General features: G+C 43.7%; 1 protein-coding gene across 4 annotated transcripts in view, besides 2 other annotated features; it reads right to left on the bottom strand.

Moving 5' to 3' along the window:
- The window catches only part of DIS3L2 (DIS3 like 3'-5' exoribonuclease 2), a 382,638-nt gene that overhangs the window by 103,533 nt on the left and 256,577 nt on the right, over nt 1-22,528 (bottom strand). For all 4 annotated transcript variants that reach the window (NR_046477.2, NR_046476.2, NM_001257281.2 and 1 more), the window contains one exon: nt 2,173-2,285. Coding sequence is in view for 2 of the 4 variants with exons in the window: in NM_001257281.2 (NP_001244210.1) it covers nt 2,173-2,285 (113 nt within the window). In the remaining 2 variants the exon portion in view is untranslated. The remainder of the gene's footprint in view (nt 1-2,172; nt 2,286-22,528) is intronic.
- Nucleotides 8,854-9,355: an enhancer, noted in NCBI's record as "H3K4me1 hESC enhancer chr2:233096173-233096674 (GRCh37/hg19 assembly coordinates)". NCBI's record gives its function as "activates a minimal SCP1, AML or CMV promoter by ChIP-STARR-seq in primed H9 embryonic stem cells {active_cell/tissue: H9 hESC(primed)}" and the evidence as "EXISTENCE:reporter gene assay evidence [ECO:0000049][PMID:30033119]".
- Nucleotides 10,051-10,140: a silencer, noted in NCBI's record as "silent region_12455". NCBI's record gives its function as "represses an Ori minimal core promoter by ATAC-STARR-seq in GM12878 lymphoblastoid cells {active_cell/tissue: GM12878}" and the evidence as "EXISTENCE:reporter gene assay evidence [ECO:0000049][PMID:35858748]".

Genomic DNA, 22,528 nt, shown 5'->3' with positions numbered 1-22,528 from the left:
GTGGCTTCATGGCCATGGGGGTCAGGGAGGAAGCCCCATGTACTCAAGAGAGATACTTGTGGGTCAGAAGTTTGCACTGCATTCTCTTAAGCTGCCTATACCTGCTCAGAGCTTGGACTCAGGTGTCATAGACATTGTGAGGGGTCGGGGGGCAAAGAGAAGTTCTTAAACATTGCATTTAGGCTTAGGCCAGCCACAGAGGTCAGGGAGGGACACAGTACGTTTGACACAAGCAAAGTCTGGTACGGAATTCCCCCTGCTCAGATGAGGACACAGCTAACTATTCTCACTAATTGGTCACTGAAGGTGCTGGGTCTTTCAGGCATCACTGTGCATTGAGATTACCTATTGCCCATGACACAGTTACCTGGAATGGGGTTTTGATGATCACACAGCTTCTGACTCAGAATTTCCTGGCTCTGATCAACTCTGTCTTCCTCTCTATTCACTATTCTCACTTCTGGGATGGCAGAAAACACGTACATGGTGGTTCTGATCACCTAATGTGAATGGTAGGCAAAGCTGTACTTCTGAAGAAATCGGCTGTACAAGTCTCCTGGAGCAGGTGGAGCTAGGGTTTTGCTCAAATATTCTAGGTTTCAGTGATCCAGAGAGTACTGTCCTGGGGCAGGGGAGAGGAGGTGCCAGGTCTTCCTAGGTAGGGCCTCCACATATTGAAGGCGGCTATGGCAGATAACAGCTCTGGCTTTCCTTTGGGACAAGAGAGCCCATCTAGGCTAGCTCCCTTTGTAGCAGGAGCAAAGGGTCTCAGACAAGGTGATTTCCACCATGGGGTGGAAGACATCACTGTCAACTGATAAGCTCAGCTACACTGGGGGAACTAAACTTGGGCCACAGGCAACAGGATCTTCAGCCCCTAGAGGATATGGCTGCACTCAAAGCCTAGACTGGTCTCTTCCCTTTTGAGAGGTTAGTTTTCAGGGTGGACAAGTTGAAAACATGAGAGGAACTCTCAGTAACACTTGGTAAATACCAGAAATCCTAGAAACTTTTGGGCTTTCCTGGATAGCTTTTGCTCCAGAAGTGCCAATACCTTTGTGAACATCAAGTAGGCACTTTGCTAGAAGTGGAGCCCAGAAATTCTAGAATGCACCTGTGGTGCTGCATTCTAGGGTGGATGGTGGGGATATTCCTCTGACCTTAGGGCAGTCAATGAGCAAATACCAGAATCATGTCCTAGGGCATGGGCTTGGGAGGCAGGAAGGCTCAAGCTAGTATAGGCAGAATCCCAAACTGGACTGCCAAATTTTAAAAAGCTAGAAAGGAAGTGGAAGTCCAGATATGGCCGAAGAAGGAAGATGAGCAAATGAGCAGAGGATCAGAGAAGGGAAAGAAGAGAAAGAAACCTGGCAGAATTCATGAACCACAGTGTGGAGGGCAGAACTTACTCATGCTTGGTCTCTTATTAACCCCTTTCTCTGAGGCCTACTGCAGTGACCATCAGATAATTGGTGCTCAATATATATGTGTTAAAGGAATGGATTCTCATGGTTACCTATTGAATGTGCCAGGTCCAAGTACACAGAATGGAAGGGATGTTTTGAGATGAATCTGTCCAGTCCCTTCATTTCACAGATGAGTCTAGGGAGGTCTGTAGACACTTAGTAACTAACCAAGAGTGGTGCAGTCAGGATGAGAGGGAAAAGCTCAGGCTCCTCCTTATCTCCCTTCGCTTTTCCATCTCGGAGACTCCCATAGCTATCTTGTAATGGGCAGGTCAGGACCAGATTGGCTCCCACCTTTTAGAACAGGGGTTGAAAACATTTCCTTAAAGGGCTTACAGTAATAGGAAATCGTCATGCCACTCTGCTGAAGTAGTGTGAAAGCAGCCACAATACATGAACAAATGCATGTGCCTGAGTTCCAATAAAACCTTACAAAAACTAGTCGCTAGTGTGGGCTGAGTTTGCCGAGCCCTGCTTTAGAACAATCGTTTGAAAGCAGGTATTTTGCCTCCTTTCTTTCTGAAGCTGAGTATCTGTCAGTTACTTATATAGCAGGGCCACTCTGGGATGAGGCCTCAGATGAACACCTGTGTCTTCCTTTGGCTTCTCTTTCCGGAGAACATGTAATAACAGAGAGCACACACTCTTCCAGGGAAACAAACAAATAAACAAAGCAAGAAAAAAGAAACTAGAGATGGATTTTTACCTTTTGAACCAAGTAGACGCTTGTAGCCCTCTCGGCAGCCACTTTATCCAGATCAGATCCCTCCGGAACAAAGTAACTCACGTCAGCAATGTGAACTCCCACTTTGAAGTTGCCTGTAAATGCACGAGAAGGACTATCAGGCTGGCGTGGAAGGCCACAGCATTCTCTCCCAGGAGTCCTTTCCTAGAATGTATGTCACTCCCAGAGGCCACAGGACCTGCAGTTAGGTGACACATCTAGTCTTGCTTGCTTCCTTCCTTGGCCACCTCCCTCTGTGACCCGCACTACTGTCACTTTCCTCATTGTATAGCAAAAGATGATGAAATTGTTCTTGTGAATAAACAAGATTAACCACTTTCCCAAGATGTTTCCCATTTCTAAAGGCTTCTTATCTTTGAGTAAACATAAGAAGATATGGCTCATTCTGGGTGATGAACAAATCCTTTTAGGTCACTAGAAGTGAATTAATCCCCAAATCCTACAGATGAAGCCTCTGAAAGCTCTGCCCTTCCTTCCCATTCCCTCTGGCCATTGCCCTATTTAGCCCACACCTGGCTGCCCTACCTCGCCTCTGTGCCCCCCTCACCTGGCCCTCCACACTTTGCTGTGATCTTTCTAAATGTGGGTCTGGGAAAGGTACTCTTAGCCTGTTATTCATGTCCTTACAGGGTCACACCCCAAGCAACCTCAGCCCCATCCTTCACATGCTCTGTATGTAGCTGTCATGGGAAACCTCTTTCCATTTCCTGAACAGATCTTCCCTCAAGCCATTTAGATGTTGGCTTGGCTCATACTTTTTCCTATGCTTGGGATAGTCTTAACAGGATCTGCCTATCAAAATCTTCCTTACTTTATTTGGGTCAACTGAAAGAGAATCCCCAAACAAGAAGAGGTTCCTCTACCCCCCTCCCACCATTTCCTCCACCTGTCTGTCTCCTCCAACTCCCCACCACCCCGCCCCCAACCATTTCCTCCATCTGCACTGTAAAGCACGTACTCCACACCTGTTGAGGCTTACCGTGGTCTTTCTTCAGAGCTCTCATCACTACCAGATATCACGGCATATCTCTATCGGCTTGTGTGTTTGTTATCTGTCTCTCTCCCTACCATGTAAGCTCCAGCAAATAAGGCCTTTTGTGTAATGTTCACTGTTACCCAAGGCCTGGAAGAGTACCTGGCACATAATAGGTCCTCAAGAAGTACTTGTTGAATGAATGAATCAACAGTCGGTCTGTCTTTTCCCTCTGGTAAAGGACCCACTTTCTTTTTCCTTTTAGAACTGCTCCTTCCCTTCCTGGTGGAGCTGTCTTTTAATAGGCCCTGCCCTCCCTACCAGGTTTACCAGAGAGTTGGTCAGGTGACCAAGGCTGTTAGAACTGTACCTTAAATGAGGGAGGGTAGTTAGGTTATAAACTTAAGATTTATTCTTGAACATACTGTAAATCACCTATCAAATATAGTGTATGTGAAAATAAAAATATACACATACATACAAGAGTATATACATACGTACATACATATACATGTATGTGTGTATGAAAATACAGAAAATGAACCAATTACAAAAAAAGAGTATACATGTAAAATAAGTATATAGGCTGGGCACGGTGGCTCATGCCTGTAATCCCAGCACTTTGGGAGGTCAAGGCTGGCGGATCACTTGAGGCCAGGAGTTTGAGACCAGCCTGGCCAACATGGCAAAACCCCATCTCTACTAAAAATAAAAATTAGCCAGGTGTGGTGGCACACACCTGTAGTCCCAGCTACTCAGGGGGCTGAGGCAGGAGAACTGCTTGAACCTTGGAGGCAGAGGTTGTAGTGAGCTGAGATTGTGCCACTGCACTTCAGCCTGGGCAACAGAGCAAGGCTTTGTCTCGAAAAAATAAAATAATAAAATAAAATAAGTATACAGTTTAAAGATATACAATGGGCAGAGAGAAGCACATGGAAGATACAAGCATAGTGCTGAATTTGCTTCAGTTGAACAATACAACTTGTTGTATTGATAAATGATATGAACTTCAGGAAAGAGGGTCTCTCTCCTGGGATCCTAGGCACTAAGGACCACATAAACCTGGAGCTGCCAGGAAACATCTATGCTACATAATCATGCCAATACAGAAAATAATAGTCTAAGAAAGAAAAGAAGAATTATGACCTCATTTGAACTTCAGGATCCAGCTGAGCCTGAAACTAGTCTACCTGTGGACTTGGCAGTTAATGAGTGGATCAATTCCCTTTCCATTATGACTCACTGACAGAGTCTTGACTCATACCCAAGTTGGCTTAGAAGAACTTATTAACACAGTACCATCTGCTCTTTTGGTAACCTGAATGATCAGTCCTAAGGTATCACACATTTTATCTGCAAACTGTGTAGCTACTTATTATCCTCCTACTCCTTCACTGGGGGATAATTCTTCCCTCAGTTTTTAAAATGGAAAAATGCTTAAACGTGGGATGCTTGAAAAAAGGGGTTCAGGCAAGGAAAAGAATTTAAGATTCCCTATTCTTCATCTGGTGTGACACTCAGAGACCACCTTCCTACAGGGCATTCTTCAGGTTTTTCCGCCCAATCCTGTAGCTGTAATACATAAAGGAATACTTAAGTCCACTTAAGAGATCCTGGCTGCTATGGGGTAACATAACAGATCTGTTTCCCACAGAGGAGAGGGCTGTCTGGAAAGCTGAGAGGAACCAGCATGACTCCAAGCTTAGCTGCCTCATTCTGACAGGCACGCAGCTGTGTCGCTGGGTCACTGGGAGCAGTGAAACCTGCCCTGCGATCGAGGAACTGAACTTTATGTGAATTCAGCCAAGAGTCTCAGATGGCTCAACTTCCAGTTTTGATATTTCAAGTATCTAAAACCAACACTTAGAGAAGGTAAAATAAAGTGTCTTCTTTTGAAGTCAGCATTATAATATATTGGCCTAACAGGTAAATATTGACTGAAGGACAAAAGAGAGGATTATTACATCATGATATAAACCATAATTTTAAATTCAGTCTCTGTGTTACTGCACATGAACTTTCTGTCCTTAGTCAAAATTGACAAACTGACAAAGAGTTCATTACAGGAGATAAAATATGAAGAAGGCCAATCAAAACATATTCAAGAGGCTTAAATTTCATTCAGAATTCCCAGCAGAGCCTCTGAAACCAGCAAAGAGAAGCTCTCTTATTCTCTGCTTTGGATCTTTTTTATGGAAACCCTAAGTAAATATTTTATTATATATGTTTACATAATGTGAACTTGCAGAACTCTTGAGGTGGTGGCACTGAACTTTTTATTCTATGAAAGAGAAACTATAAATCCAAAAGTCACATGGCATATGCTGCCAAAATGTTTAAGACAAATTTGATATTTTAAAAGATACTGGCTTTCATATGAAAGCATTCTTTTAAAATATTTTTAAATTTAAAACTTTCATCTGCCAGGGAGTAGGTGAGCCTGTGTGTTTAAAGAGCATTTAGAGCAGAGAGAGGAAGGATCCCCCGGGCAGCCGGGCCTGGCTCACTTTGCCTAGGGTCCACAAACTTAGATGAGTACAAACACTCCTTTGAATGAACCTGACGGGACATGAGAACTGCTTCATCCAATTAAAACATAGATTATAAAGCGGGATTCAGAAACCATCTCTTTGAAGCCAGCCTTCCAACCAGTGCAGCCACTTCCCCACAGTGTCCCTGCCAGGTGGCCCCTGCTATATCCTCAAGAGTGGGAAGCTGACATCTTCTTGAAGCCACCTGCTCTCTTTCTGAAGAGCTCTGGTAGGGGAAGTGCTTCCTCACATGGATCCTCTAGTTTATGCCCGCACTAGACATCTGTGAGTGGGGACCCATCCATTTAAGGAGCTCTCGGTCTAATGGGGCTCATACATACACCCGTGTGATAACTCAAGTATATGGCAGTAAGCTGAACTGCAATCAGTGAGGACATCTGAAAGTGTTTTGTGATCCATAACAACTACATAAATGTAACATAGACTATGATGATCATAAAAATAATAAAGACCTGTAATCCCAGCACTTTGGGAGGCTGAGGTTGGCGGATCACCTGAAGTCAGGAGTTCAAGACCAGCCTGGCCAACATGGGTGAAACCCCATCTCTACTAAAAAATACAAAAATTAGCCAAGTGTGGTGGCGCATGCCTGTAGTCCCAGCTACTTGGGAGGCTGAGGCAGGAGAATCACTCGAACCCGGGAGGTGGAGGTTGCAGTGAGCCAAGATCACACCACTGCACTCCACCCTGAGCAAGAGTGAGACTCCGTCTCAAGAAGAAGAAAAATAATAACAATAATAATACAGATAGCAGGAGTGAACATTTATTAAATGTCTCCTCTGTGCTAGGGGCTTCACACACAAGCTAACTTTGACTACAGCTATGCATATCGTTTTGCACAGATGAATTATCTGAGATGCAGAGAGTTTTTCAGTCACTTTTCCAGTTACTTGGCTAAAAAGTGAGAAATCCCAGATTCAAAACCAGGTTGGGTTCAGATCCTTTGCTCCTTTTATTACCCCTCGCCATAAACTGTCACTGCAACTCCAGAACAAGATGATACAACCCAATTTTTCATCTCAGTGGGCCACAGCTCAAAATCCCTCCCTATCTCTCATAACTCCAAGGAAGCCACATTCTCAGCTCTGGATTCAGAAGTCCTGGCAGAGACTCTTTCCAGCCATGTTCACTCCTGTCCCTGCAGGCTCTTTTGGTTCCCGTTGTCAGTCTCCTTAACCACTTGTAGCAGGGCCTGATTATAGAACAACCACTAAGCCATTAACTCCAGTTCTATTTAATTAGATGAACAAGCTCTTTAAAATCTAAACCACTCCTAAATTTCTAGCTTACAGTCATTTTTAGCTGGTAGTACAGAGACTGTCTGAACGACTCAAGAGGCCTGTGCCAGGAATGAGCACAACCAGGGTGGCCACCTACTATAGGTGGGGCCTTCCCTTACCAGCAGTGAGATAAGGCCTTCCAGACTTGGGTCACTTCATTCACTTTTACCCATTGCTGAGACTGGACAGTGGTCACAGTGGTGACAGAGGCTCTTCTTGACATCAGCAGGACACTCCTCACATAAAACAATATTATGTGTTGTGATAGATATTTGCTCCCCCCAGTCTCCCCACTCCCTGCCAATTCACAGGTTGAAATTCAATCCCCAATGTGATGGCATCAGGAGGCAGACCTCTGGGAGGTTATCAGGCCTCAGAGGTAGATCCCTCACAAATAGGATTAGTGCCTTATAAAAGGGACCCCAGACAGCTCTCTCATTCTTTCTACTATGTAAGGACGCAATGAGAAGGTGCTGTTCCATGAACCAGGAAGTGGGCCGTCACTAGACACTGGATCTGCCAGCATCTTGATCTTGGACTTCCCAGCCTCAAGGACTGTGAGGAATAAATCCGTTGTTTTAGTTCTTTATGCCACCTAGTCTACAGTATTCTGTTATAGCAGCCTGAATGGACTAAGGCACATGTGATGCCTGGAAAGCCTTTTAATATACTTCATCAGCAAAAAATAACTGCTTTGTCCAGGTCACTAATAACCTCTGTGCACTGAATCCAAACCTTTGTAGGCCTGACCTTATAGCAGCATCTGAAGCCTGGTGATTCTGTGCCCTCCCCACCCCAACACCTTGAGACACTCCTCCTTAGCTCTGGGCCCCACTCTGGGTGTCTAAGCTCCATGTCTGCTCCTCTTCAAGTTTCTCTGCCTCTCCGTGTCCCTTAAGTGTGGCGTGCCAAGCCTCCGTGCTCTGCCCCAGGCTGCCTTCTCTTCTAATTCTACCCCTTCTCTCTGGATTGTCTCATCTACTTCCAGGGATTCAAACCTCATTTCTGTGCTTTGGTCTTCTAATTGTATATCACCAGCCTAGACTTCTCTGAGCTTCAGATTGATGTATACAAAGTCTACTGAGAATTGTCACTCAGCTGTCCCACGGTCACATCACACTCATACCTCCATAAGCCCCTACTGGCAGCAAAACCATTTCTCTCCCTGTGTTTCCTGTCCCAGGAAGTGGGATCACCTCCACTAAACCAAAAGTGATACCCATGCTTGCCTAAACCAAAAAGAAACCTGGGACTTTCTCAGGCCTGTGTCGATCAATCATTCTGACTCTACCTTCCATACGTCTCTCACATCTGCCCATATGTCTTCCTTCCCACCACTGTCACCTTGGCCAAGACCACCATGGCTTCTTCTAAGAAATATCTAACAACCTCCTATTGCTCTCCCTGCCATTTCTCAAACTGATTTTCCATAGTGAAGACAGTGCCCTTTCCAAACACAAATCTGCCTGTCGCCTCACCATCTACACCCTCCAGAGGCCCTGCTGCCCTGAGCACGCAGCCCAGACCTGGCTTCTGTGGCCTGCCTGGCCTGGCTTTTGCCCACCCCTCCCATCCCATGGTCTTGTTTCTTCCACTCCTCCCCTGCACACCATCCTCTATCACCACTTCACAAGAAGCTGATACCAACCCAACTGCTCATCATGTGGGTCTGCTCTGTGCATGTTTTGACTTTCCTGGCCCTTATCCCTTAAATGACAGTTACACCCCCAAGACACTGTGATGGGGCTCCCATGCTCACACCCAGGGGTCTCCCCGCGGTTCTCTCTATTCCTCTTCCTGGCAACCCCCACTGGTCCTTCAAACTACCACCTAAAGTCACTTCCTCCGGCAGGCCTGCCCTGATGACCTAGACCAGGCTCAATCCCCTTCTGTGTCTTCCTACAGCTTCTCAACTCTTTCACCCCCATTTACTACATGCGGATCATGAACTACCTCCTGACTCTCTGTAATCAGCATGATGGGCAGGGAAAGGGCTGGGCCCGCAGTGATTGACATTTACTGAATGAAAAAGAAAGTAACAAAAAATACAGGGCAGGCGCCCTGCTGCTCTGGGCTGAAAGGATTGTAAACCCTGCCTAACTGCCCATGCAGGTGCTGAGCCCTCTCCATACCAGGTCTGCAAGAGAGCACCCAGCCTGTGCCTGCATATGCATACCTCAGGTGACTTAAAATTCACTGCTGTCTGGTGAAGCCCACTACGTCCTCAGGTAAAGTGGCAATTATTATTATTTTTTTCTCTCTTTTAAAGCCAAAATATGTCTCCCTAGAGTTTTCACTTATTGGCTCCAGTTCTGGCTCATAAGGGTGCCCAGAACAAGCCCATCTCCTTGGAGGACAGCAATCTGGCCAAGAGAAAGGAGTGAAGCAGGGCTAGGTGCTTTTAGGGTAGCACCAGCTTTAATTACTGAGACAGCCAGCATATGGCCCCTGGGACTTTTCTGCTTCAGGCTAAACAACCACATGGTTTAGCTTTCAATTACCTCATAATCTTCCTAATAACCATCTTCATTCATTCAATCAGCCACACAACAAATACTTACTAAGCTCCTACTATGTACCAGTCCTTTTCTAGGCACTGTAGACATACAAGAAAACTGACAAGGTCCCTTCTCATGTCAAGCTTCCAGTCTAGTGGGGAGAGAAAGGCAATGAGCAAACAAACAAATGACAAGATTACTTAGATAGTAAAAAGGACTTTGGAGAAAATAAAACAGCGAATGTCTGGAGCCTATTTTAGAGTTCATTAGTAATGAAAAGGTGTCTATGAGGAAACAGACTGAGACCTGTGGGTCTAAAAAAGACCATGTCACGTGATGACATGGGGGAGAGCATCCCAGGCAGGAGAGCCAGAGCGAAGGATGGGGGGTGGGCGCAAGCTTGCTGTGTCTAGGGACACAGCTGTGGCTGGAAAGCAGGGAAGAAGTGGAAGCAGGGAGGCTAGTGAGGTGGATGGGCCCTGAGAAGAGCTGCCCTGCTGGGTCAGGATGAGGCATTCTTTACTTCAAGTGCAATGGGAAGCCACCAGGGAGCGCTAAGTGGAAAGGTAACTTGAATGTACCATACTCACTTTCTCACTTTGCCACCTCACCCACTCTGCAGACCATGGCTCTATTAATGCCATCTGCAGTCATACTGAACAAAAACAAAGAGCCTCAAGACCACAATCAGAAGTACAACCTGCTGGACACCTTGACAGATAGAACAGATGTTGGACTTCCTGTCCCTCAGGTTGGTTTCCACCCAGTCTATGATGGGAACACAATGCTCTGGCTTGGGTCACCCCTCTTGACCCTGTGGCCAGTTTTCCCAACATAGGAGCCTCAACAGAGATAGAAAACAGTATTCTGGAAGCTCAGAAAGGGTAATCCAACCAAGGGGGCTGAGCGAAAGGGATGTTCCGCTGTTCAAACGGCACCAGCGATGAGGGGCCTTACTTAGGGCAGCTCATGCAGCCAGGATGCGGGCCCTGGCCTTAGCATGATCCTACTGAATTTTGGAGACAGACTCAATTGGGCTTGGATCACCTTGTGGCCACACAATAAACTCCACCTTTTACTTGGGATAAGCACATTCCCTCTGAGAAACACTGATTGGGTTGCTAGGTAAGAGGGACAACTCAAACGCTGGCATCTTCCAGTTCCATGTGGTATTCGTTATGTAATCTTACACAAAAGCTGACCACCAGTATAGCAAGCCATGGCAGCACTCCATGGCCATGACGTGGTGATGGTTTGAGGATATTTTACAAACTTAAGAGAAGCTGAAGTGAAAAAAAAATCTGGGGTAAGTAAATCTGAATGAAATGCAGGAACCCACCATGAGGAGGGGGTAGCATAGGATGACTTCTTAGGTCTCCCCAAAGGTCAGGATTTGAAGAGTCTGGATTTTCTTCTTCTTTTTTCCTCTTTGCCATCCAGCAAGAGGTTAATGAGGACCTTTAGTTGCAAACTCCTTAACTGGTGAGCTCATCTTCTGGAACAGAGCAGCTTCAAGAACCTTTTCCCTTCATTATTACTAAGGGCTCTATCAATCTGCAAGTACTCAACTAAACTGCCCACACAGCAATTTTTGTCATGTTCAATGTAATTCTCAGGCATCTAAGTTTAAATTTATATGAACAGCATGTATGAGGAACACCCAGGTAGTAAATTCCACTTTTTCTCTTCCAAATGACTTGAGCAATGGCCTTCTTCATTAACAGGAAAGAGAATGAGGAGCTGAACTTGCGAGGCTGGCGCACTCAACGTCTGGGAATTTCCAGGCTTTTCAGCAGTGAGTGGGGAAAGCCCAGGTCAGCCGGTCAAGCCTGGGACAGAGCACAGGCTCCAGAGAAGCTCTGAGAGCAGCAGGGCAGGCACTTGGTCCTTACTCAAAGCCAAAAGACAGTGAAGCCCTAGGGACTGCGAAGGACCCTAGAAGGTCATTACAAAGTGAGCAGGTCAAAGTAATAAGGGCTGGGGTACAGGTGGGTTGGGAATGGAGCAGGACTGGCTGTGGAATGAGGGATACAGGGGCTAGGTGATGGGAACAATGGGTTTCATTATACTCTTCCTTCTACTTTTGTGCATGTTCAAAATTCTTCATCCAAAAAAAAAGAGAAGAGGCAGGACTGAAGCCAAGAAAAGAAAAAAGTTTGAAAAGGACAAATCCAGTTAAGTAAAACTAGCTCAAAGTTTTAAAACAACAACGAGCCAATAGAGGCAGAAGTTGAAGGTTACTGCTAAGAAAGAGCAGAATAAAAATGTCCTCAGTGATGATCTTTAGAGGCAGCAGATACAGGGATTGTTCCTTCATCCGTTACACACTTTTGTAATGTTTTCAGTTTTCAAAGGCAGGAAAAGCAATAAGGATAAAAAGTATAAAATAAAAAATGCAAACCCTGCTTTAAAATATCTGGAGAAAAATATATGAAGAAGGTAACAATGGTTTTGAGTGATAGGATTTTGAATTTTTCTTTTTGCTTAGATGTAAACTTTAATTCTTGAATAATAAGTGTGTTACTTGGTAAAGAGTCTTGGATTTTTAGAATAAAACACACCAACAAAATGCTATGTCCACCCCAGCCACCTGTGTACCTCTTGACTTCCCAGCACACACCAAGAAACAGCACTACTGGCCAGCCTGAGCAGGAGGCAGTAAATTGATGCCAGCTTATTGGTCAATTCTCCTGGTGGATTATGGTGACTAAAGCACTTTGCAGGCAAGCTCTATAAAGGTGAACTTAGTAAATGAAGTAGCAGAGAACTGGGCATACTCCTTCTGAACAGGAAACAACTATTTTCATGCCAGAAATGTAACTACAGTAGGCAGCAGGTCATGGCATGTGTCGTCATCTCTTTTATGGGCTTCGGCACATACGGCCAGCATGGGGACCTAGTCTTTCTTATGTCTGAGGCTGTGCAGGGAATGCGTGTGTGGAATCCCAGCAGAATGGTTTCCCCCAGGTCTAGGTCTAAAAACAGAATTGTAGCATATTTTCATTCATTTGTGGACTTTTCTATTTTTTAAAAGTCCCAGCCGGGTGTGGTGGCTCACGCCTATAATCCCAGCAGTTTGGGAAGCTGAGGCGGGTGGATCACCTGAGGTCAGGAGTTGGAGACTAGCCTGACCAACATAGAGAAACCCCATCTCTACTAAAAACACAAAATTAGCCGGGCCTGGTGGTGCATGCCTGTAATCCCAGCTACTCAGGAGGCTGAGGCAGGAGAATCGCTTGAACCGGGAGGCGGAGGTTGCCGTAAGCCAAGATAGCACCATCGCACTCCAACCTGGGCAACAAGAGCAAAACTCCATCTCAAACAAACAAACAAAAATAGTCCCTCTATTAACAAGACATAATTACTAGTCTCTACCAGCCAAATATACAAGAGATATATAATTTTCAATGTTTTAAAGAAATATAAAACAACTATGTGTATTAAAATGCCTATAAACTAAACGTTAACTGTTAACTGCTTAATCCAATCCCAGCATTCCTTACATCAGAAATTGAAACAACTTTCATATTTACCTAGAATTCTGAAAGGCAAAAGCTCACTGCTTTATATTCCGGTGACAAAAACCCTTAGTGGCTTTTCTCTCACACTGGAGATACCTTTTGGGTTATTATTTTCTCACCATGCCCAATTAGCTCTTTTGGATCCAATCACTCAGTTTCACTTATTAATTTATTTGCATGAAAGGGAAACCATTTCTGACTCCCCAAGACGTCACAAAAGTTAACAAGAAATTATATACATAATTTATGTATGCCTGTGGTATGAGAATCCACCATACTGGTGGTCTCATAATAACGGCATATTGACTGCTTACTTTTTAAAGCACTTCATTATATTAATTCATTTAATCTTCCAATGCTATGAGACGCATCTCTTTCTACAGATAAAGACACTGAGACCCAGGGAGGTCAGACACCTTGTGTCAAGGTCTGACTCCAAAACTGGAGCTCCTAACCACTGCATTATGGAGACTCGCCCCTCAGCATCGGGTTCTTGACAAACTCATACTTGCTTCTTTTTCAACACCTGTAGACTACAAGCGCTCTCAATTTAATTTTAAAAGATTACACATTCATTCTGCAGAACAAACATTTTGACAAGTAGAACAAGTAAGTAGACATAGTATGATTTTCAACATGACTGAAAGTAATTCCTTTACAGAAACAATAAATATTTGTTGAAATGAAAACCTTGTCAAGTAGTCTTTTAACTACTGGTCACTTTCTATTTCTGAGCTGTCCATATATCAGTTAGTTATAACTCAATTTCCTGGGTTTTTTTTTGTTTTTGTTTTTGTTTATTTGTTTGTTTTTGAGACAGGGTCTTGCTCTGTCACCCAAGTTGGAGTGCAGTGGCACGATCATGGCCCACTGCAGCTTCCACCTCCTCAGGCTCAAGTGATCCTTCCACTTCAGCCTCCTGAGCAGCTGAGACTACAGGCAAGCACCATCATGCTCAGCTAATTTTTTAATTCTTTGTAGAGACGGGGTCTCACTATGCCCAGGCTGGGGTCGAACTCCTAGGCTCAAGCAATCCTCCCACCTCGGCCTCCCAAAATGTTGGGGTTACAGGCGTGAGCCACCCCACCTGGCCTTGAACATGACTTTTGTATTTTGTAATAGATATGGATGTGGTATAGTAGGGGAAAGATGTCCTGTCCTCATGACACACGCTCAAGTTCACTTGTAGCCTCTCTCACTAAAATGGAGTTAAGACTCTTCAGATGCCATAGCTCCTGGATGATAACAATAGTTTTATTCATTGTGGCTGGCATATAAATACACTCAACTATTTCTTGATTAAATGAATAATCTTCACAAAAGTTCTATGAGGTAGGTACTATTAATATTTACATTTTACAGATGAAGACATTCAGACTCAGAGAGGTTAAATGATTTGCCCAATGTCAGACAGTCAGTAAATGGCAAAGCCAGGATTAGAACATTGTCTGACTCCAGTAACAATGTGCTCACCTATCATACCAAAGGACCATATGGTGGTGCAGCCTTTTCCTAAGGCTGACTATGATTAACAATGTTTCAATCATTATTACAGTTACCAGTATCTCTTAACTTTTTGTTTCATGACAGCTTTATTGAGATTTCATTAACATACCACACAGTTCACTCAAAGTGTGCAACTGAATGGTTTTTAGTATAGGCACAAAGTTGTGCAACCACAACTACAATAAATTTTAGAACATTTTCATCACCCCAGAAAGAAAGCCCATATCTGTTTACAGTCACTCCCTACTTCCTCCCAACCTTCCCAGCCGCAGGCAACTACTAATCTATTTCTGGTCTCTATAGATGTACCTGTTCTGACATCTCATATTAATGGAATCATACAAAGTGCTCTTTTATGGTTGTCTTCTTTCACCTAGTTTATTTTCAAGGTTCACCCCTGTTGTATCGTGTACTTTGTTTCTTTTTATGAATGAATAATATTCTATTATATGGATATACCATATTAAATTATCCATTCATTGGCTGCAGACACATTTGGGTTGTTTCCATTTTTTTTGTACTCCTTCATTTTTTTAAAATAAAATTTTTTATTAAGGCATGAAATACATAAAGTATACAAGCATTAAGCATACAGTTCAATGAAGTTTTACAAAGTAAATATACTTAGGTAACCACCACCCAGTTCCACGAAATAGAATGTATGCAGAATTCCAGAAGCTTTTCTCATGCCTCCTCCCAGTCTTTACACTCACCAAAGATAATTACTTTTCTGACCTCTATATAATCACTGATCAGTTTCACCTTTCTTTGTATTTTACATAACTAGATTCATATGGTATATATCTATTTTTTGTCTGGCTTATTTTGCTCAACACAGCGTTTTTGATATTCATCATGTTGTGTTTTGAATTTGCTTCACTCTGTTGCTATATAATATTCCATTGTAAGAGTATACCCCAATTTATTAATTTTATTGTTATCAGGCACTTAGATTGTTTTTGGTTTTTTGCTATTATGAGTGATGGTGCTATGAACGTTCCTGTACATATATACACCTTTCTATGGGGTATATACTTAAGACTAAAACTGCTGGGCCATGAGTTATGAATCCACCCAGCTTTATTACATATTGTACAATGGTTTCCCAAAGTAGTTGTGGCAACTTAGACTCCTACTAGCAGTATATGAGAGTTGTAATTGCTCCACACCCTCCCTAACATTGTCAGCTTTAAAAACTTTTAGCTATTGTGGTGGGAACATAATAGTATCTTATTGTGGTTTTCATCTCCATTTTCCCCCTGGACTTAAGATATTTTCATGTGTTTGACCATTGGTTATCTTCTTTTATGAAGTGCCTCTTCAAGTCTTTATATAATATATTGGTAAGAGTCATATGCTGGATATATGTATTACAAATATCTTCTCCCACTCTGTGGCTTGCCTTTTCAACAATTTTTTTTCTTTTTTTTTTTTTTTTAAAGACAGAGTCTCACTCAGTTGCCCAGGCTGGAATGCAGTGGTGCAATCTCAACGCACTGCAACCTCCACCTCCCAGGTCAAATGATTCTCATGCCTCAGCCTCCCGAGTAGCTGGGATTACAGGCGTGTATGACCATGCCTGGCTAATTTTTGTATTTTTAGTAGAAAGAGGTTTTTACCATGTTGACCAGGCTGGTGTCGAACTCCTAACCTCAAGGGATCCACCTGCCTGCACCTTCCAAAGTGGTGGGATTATGGACATGAACCACTGCACCCTTTTCAACAATCTTAATGATGTCTTTTGATGAATGGATGTTCTTAATTTTAATAAAATCTAATTTATCAGTCTTTTCCTTTAAAGCTTATGCTTTTTGTGCTCCACTTAAAAAATCTTTGCCTACACCAAGGTCATAAGGTTATTTTTCTTATGTTATCTTTAGAAGTGCTAATGTGTTACTTTCATACTCAGATCTATGAGCCACATGGAATTCATTTTTATGTGTGGTATAAAGTAGGGGTCAAAACCAATTTTTCCCCCATATGGATATCCAACCAGTCTAGTACCATTTATTGATAAAACCATCTTTTCCTCACTACACAGCAGTAACATCTTTGCTAAAAACCATGTGGTTGTATATATATGTGGGTCTGTTTCTGTATTCTCTATTCTAGTCTTACCTTGACTTCTGAGCAGCAGCTGAACATTTATTATTTCAGCATAACCCTTACTACAATTCCATGGCAATTTTTTTGGTCTCACTCTGTCGCCCAGGCTGGAGGACAGTGTGGTGCGATCATGGCTCACCGCAGCCTTGACATCCTGGGCTCAAACGATCCTCCCACCTCTCAGCTTCTTGAGTAACTAGGACTATAGACGTGCACCACCACATCCAGCTAATTGTTGTAATTTTTGTAGAGATGGGGTTTCACCATGTTGCCAAGGCTGGTCTCAAATTCCTGGACTCAAGCAATCCTCCCATCTTGTCCTCCCAAAGTGTTGGATTACAGGCGTGAGCCACTGTGGCCCATGCAAATTTTAATCTTTCTAATTTTATATTAATAATAACTTTCACTAAACACTTACTTTTTGTCTAGCACCATTCTAAGTGCCAGGGATTATCTCATTTAGTCTTCCCCATAATTCTGAGTTAGATATTATTATCCCCCTTGATGTCAGGGAACATTGAGGTAAGAAGAGGTTAATTCTCTCCTCTGGAATACGGACTGTGTCCCTTCTCATTTTGTTGTTATACAAACTACTTTTGTGGAAAAGGATCAGAAGTATATGCAACTTGAGGTAGTTACTGTAAATATTTTTAAAGCTAAGTTGTGTTTACGCAACAATAGGCATAAATGAAGCTTAGCTCTTTTAGTTTTTCATATACTCAATAATTTGGAACTGGAAGACACTTGAGAAACTGTCTAGTTCAAACCACCATTTTATAGCTGAGGAAAGAGAATTTCAGAGAAATCACAGAAATGCCCAAATTTCCATGATGCAGTAGAGGCAAAGATGAGACAAGAACCCAGTTCTCCTGCTCCTATTGCAGTGCTCTTTCTGGTGTACCACAACTGTCTCTCATCAAGCAGTGAGTGTGTTGGATCACTGGGACTTCTTAACTGGCTTCCAGGTTTACCTTGGTGCCAGATACTTGAGGATGCCTGACTGGTGGGTGCCAGATTATCTTGGCTTTCATGAGCAAGGAAACTGGAACCAATCAGTAGAGCTGGAAGCTGATGAACACACAACAGTCCAAATTCGGTTTAACAAGGTGCACTGAGACATCCATGAAAAAGAGAATTTCCAAAGCCCAGACCCCACAGAAATCAAGCTAGCAAGATTTGAATGGAACATAGGAATAAGACTTAGAGGGTGGAGCTGCCTCTCCACTTAATCTTTCCACTTAGATTCTGTGTCCTCAAAAAGGAACTCATTGGCAAGCATCCCAGAAGCCCACTTCCATGCCAGAGCCCTCGCATGACTATTCAGTTATTTGGATTTTTTGAGTCAAGGTACAATTCAGTAAAAAATGATCATACAACAAGGACAGTTAAAATTGTTCACTCACCAGCTGGGTGCAGTGGCTCACGCCTGTAATCCCAGCACTTTGGGAGACCAAGGCGGGTGGATCACCTGAGGTCAGAAGTTCGAGACCAACCTGGCCAACATGGTGAAACCATGTTGTAAAAATACAAAAATTAGCTGGATGTGGTGGCAGGTGCCTGTAGTCCCAGCTACTAGGGAGGTTGAGGCAGCAGAATCACTTGAAGCTGGGAGGCGGAGGTTGCAGTAAGCCAAGACTGCGCCATCGCACTCCAGCCTGGGCGACAGAGCAAGACTCAGTCTTAAAAAAAAAAATTGTTCACTTGTCAGTGCCCCAGATGAATGAAGAAGACATGCATTTCCTTATGAGCTGACAGATCTACAGAATTTCCCATTTCTCTTCCCAGGTTCATTATCAAGGGCCCTACTACAAAAATAAGGTTTGACTGAGATCAAGTACTTGAGTTGCCTGGGATCTGCCTGAGACATAAAATACTGCAAGAGGAAAATATTCAGCATTTCAAAATGGGGATTAGAAATGACTTCACAAAGCTGGGCGTGGTGGCTCACGCCTGTAATCCCAGCACTTTGGGAAGCCGAGGTGGGTGGATAACCTGAGGTCAGGAGTTCCAGACCAACCTGACCAACATGGTGAAACCCTGTTTCTGCTAAAAATACAAAAATTAGCCAGGCACAGTGGCGTGTGCCTGTAATCCCAGATACTCAGGAGGCTGAGGCAGGAGAATTGCTTGAAACCAGGAAGCAGAGGTTGCAGTGAGCCGAGATCACACCACCACACTCCAGCCTGAGTGACAGAGCAAGACTCCATCTCAAAAAAAAAAGAAAAGAAATGAAATGACTTCGCATGGAAGAGGAACATAGGAGTAACAGCATTCGAAGCACTGGGCATCATGAAGATGTCAGAGACAAAACCCAGAAATGTATCCAAGCAGAAAATTGCCCTGAAGTGGAATTTTTCTTTTCTTTTTTTGAGACGGAGTTTCACTCTTGTCACCCCGGCTGGAGTACACTGGTGCGATCTCGGCTCACTGCAACCTCCACCTCCCAGGTTCAACTGATTCTCCCACCTCAGCCTCCTGAGTAGCTGGGATTACAGGTGCCCGCCATGCCCAGCTAATTTTTGTATTTTTAGTAGAGACAGGGTTTCACTATGTTGGCCAGGCTGGTCTCTAACTCCTGACCTCAGGTGATCCACCCGCCTTGGTCTCCCAAAGTGCTGGAATTACAGGTGTGAGCCACTGTGCCCAGCTGGAATTTTTCTTTTCCAAGATCTACTGATGAGTGATCAGGGTTCCCCTCTAAAATACAAAGCGCAGATTTTATCCTCTTCAGTGAGCTGAATCCTGAAATGCTGCATTTCAAAAGGATGCCCTTCCTGAAAATTGAAGACTGTACCATGGGAAGCACCTCACATTTAATTAGGAAAGTTTAATCTGTTAGCTGCTGGAAACATAAACATATGTAGCTTAAAAATAAGATCTACATGCACCATTTAATTTAACAAAAAACGATGCTTAAAATCTACATATAAAGTTGACTTTCATTTTTAAACTGTCACCTGATTTCTGAATTCCGGTCCCTTGGCATTATCTCCATATACCAATTTAACCTCCCAACTACATTCCCAAGAGATGAAAATTAAAAACAAACTTTTTTTTTTTTTTTTTTTTGAGATGAAGTCTTGTTCTGTCACCCAGGCTGGAGCACAGTGGCACGATCTTGGCTCACTGTAGCCTCCGCCTCCTGGATTCAAGCAATTCTCCTGCCTCAGCCTCCCGAGTAGCTGGGACTACAGGTATGTGCCAGCACACCGGCTAATTTTGTATTTTTTAGTAGAGACGGGGTTTCTCCATGTTGGCCAGGCTGGTCTCCAACTCCTGACATCAGGTGATCCACCCGCCTCAGCCTCCCAAAGTGCTGGGATTACAGGAATGAGCCACCATGCCCAGCCTAAAAATAAACTCTAATTTCCAATGTCTCACCAACATGGCATTAAGATCTATCTGCTACCAAAGGAATACTTAGATTTTTATACTATCAAATTTCTATTTCTTTTCTTTTGTTTTAGATGGAGTCTCGCTTTGTCACCCATGCTGGAGTGCAGTGGTGCGATCTTGGCTCACTGCAACCTATGCCTCCCGGGTTCAAGCGATTCTCTTGCCTCAGCCTTCCAAGTAGCTGGGATTACAGGCGCGTGCCACCACACCCAGCTAATTTTTATATTTTTAGTAGACATGGGGTTTCACTATGTTGGTCAGGCTGGTCTCGAATCTTGCCCTGGTGATCTGCCCGCCTCGGCCTCCCTAAAGTGTTGGGATTACAGGCATGATCCATCGCACCCCGCCCTCAAATTTCTATTTCTCCCAACTTATAGGTGAGCACTGCCACTGAAGAGATACTTGGTGTTTGTTTGTTTATTTATTTATTTATTATTTAACAACACCAAGAGATACTTGGTGTTGTTAGAGACAGCCTCACTGTATTGCCCAGCCTGGAGTGCAGTGGCGCCATCTTGGCTCACTGCAGGCTTGAACCCCCAGGCTCAAGTGGTCTTCCCACCTCAGCCTCCCACGTGGCTAGGACTACAGACGCACATCACTATGCCCAGCTTATTTATTTATTTATTTATTTATTTATTTATTTATTTATTTATTTATTTTTCTGTAGAGACTGGGTTTTGCTACGTTGCTCAGGCTGGTTTTGAACTCTTGGCGTTAAGTGAGCCTCCTATCTTGGTCTCCCAAAATGCTAGGATTATAGGTGTAAGCCACTGCAGCTAGCACTGTACTTGGTGTTTAAAGGCATTTCTTAACTAGTAAGACTATTTGCCAATATAACTAAAGGGAAAAAACATTTGGCTTTTAGATCACAAATTTTGTTTTACTACCATGTTAGGGTTCATTCAGGAAGTTAATTTTATCAGAAAATCAGCACTTATTGAATTTGAAAATAGCAAGGATACAGGCAGGAGGGAGGTGGAGGAAATGACAAGATAAAATGAAGACATGAGTTGCTGTGGAAGCCTGTAGGGATGAAAAGGGAAGAGCAGTGCAGACCACGCAAGACACCTGGCAAGGAAATAAGAGGAAGGAAGTGAGCCTCACGTGGGCCAATTCACAGAGCTGAAGTAACAGCAGCATGAACATAAGATAAACCCAGTGATCTTATAGGTACCACTGAGACATGACAGATGGAGTGAAACACTTGAATGGAATAAGGGAAAGGTATGCCCAATTCCAAAGAAACAGACTTATTTTAGGAGAGAAAGTGGATGAGACTTATATGTCAGGATATAAACCCACAGGCAACCCACAAAACAAGGACAGAAGTACATGGAAATAAAGGGGCAAGGCAAGAACCAGAAAAAGGAGTGAAACACTGAAGGTATGCAATAGGTTGCCTGGCTAGATCTGACTAGACCAAACAATTTTAAAATGCAGGGTAGCAACCAGGAAGTAGAGATATCCAAGGTACTCAGGAAGTAGAGATATCCAAGGAACACCCTGCTCTTAGGAAATAAGCAAAAAAGGGAATTAAATCCAGAAGTAATGATGGTTATTGCTATATCCAAGACATGAAGAATACTTGCTGGTAGGAGAAACAGAAACAATGCATTCTGCTAGGAGGAAAGGAAAGTTCTGCGGAGGTTTATGTTGTTCTTAGAAGGCGATTTCATCTGACAGAAGGAGGCAGGGAGGCAAGACCTTGTAAGCAGAGGGAAAGGAGCAGGCAGAGGCCTGGAGGCAGGAAAGGGCACAGGAGATCAGCAGAGCCTGCAGTGACCAGCCCCCACTGTGCGTGTGTTAAGGGAAGCAGCGCTGGGAAGTGGGGTGGCAGGAGAGGAGGCTGAGGACTCATCTTACAGGGCTTTGGTAACAAAGGTCTGCTAAAGAACTGCAGACCTAACCCATAGGTACAAGCAGGTTTTCAAACAGAAAAGCTACATGATCTGGTCCTTGTGCGTGCCACGTAGGAAAGATAACTAGACAGCAAGGTGGACGGGAGACAGTGAGGAGGGAGGGAAATTACTGAAAAGACCATGACAACAGTCTGGAGAGGAAAAGGAATCAAATGTGATTCCAAGATTACTTTGTAAAACCTTGGTTGATTAGACGCCAGCTGATGCCATCATAAAAGCAAGAGGCGGAGAAGAAACAGGCTCAGAGGGACCCTTGTCCTGCTGCCCCTCCAGCTCTCCCTCCCAGGAAACTCCCAAGTTTGGTCTTGAACTCCTGGCCTCAAATGATCCTCCCACCTCGGCCTCCCAAAGTGCTAAGATTACAGGTGTGAGCCACCACACCCGGCCTGAAACCTCCAAGAATGGATCACTGCAACCTCTGTTCCCACACCTCGGAGGCTGAGAATTACTGAAGAAAAATCTTATTATCCTCCAGACTTTGTAGGATTCAAACCCAGACATACCTGAGCAGTGTTTGCCAATGCTTTGTCTGATGGATTCCTGGTCAGTTCTCTATACTATCT

This window comes from Homo sapiens, chromosome 2 (assembly GCF_000001405.40).
Source record: "Homo sapiens chromosome 2, GRCh38.p14 Primary Assembly".
Classification (NCBI taxonomy): Eukaryota; Metazoa; Chordata; class Mammalia; order Primates; family Hominidae; genus Homo; species Homo sapiens.
The sequence above is the reverse complement of the archived record's forward strand: the minus strand, read 5'-3'. Positions and strand labels throughout refer to the sequence as shown.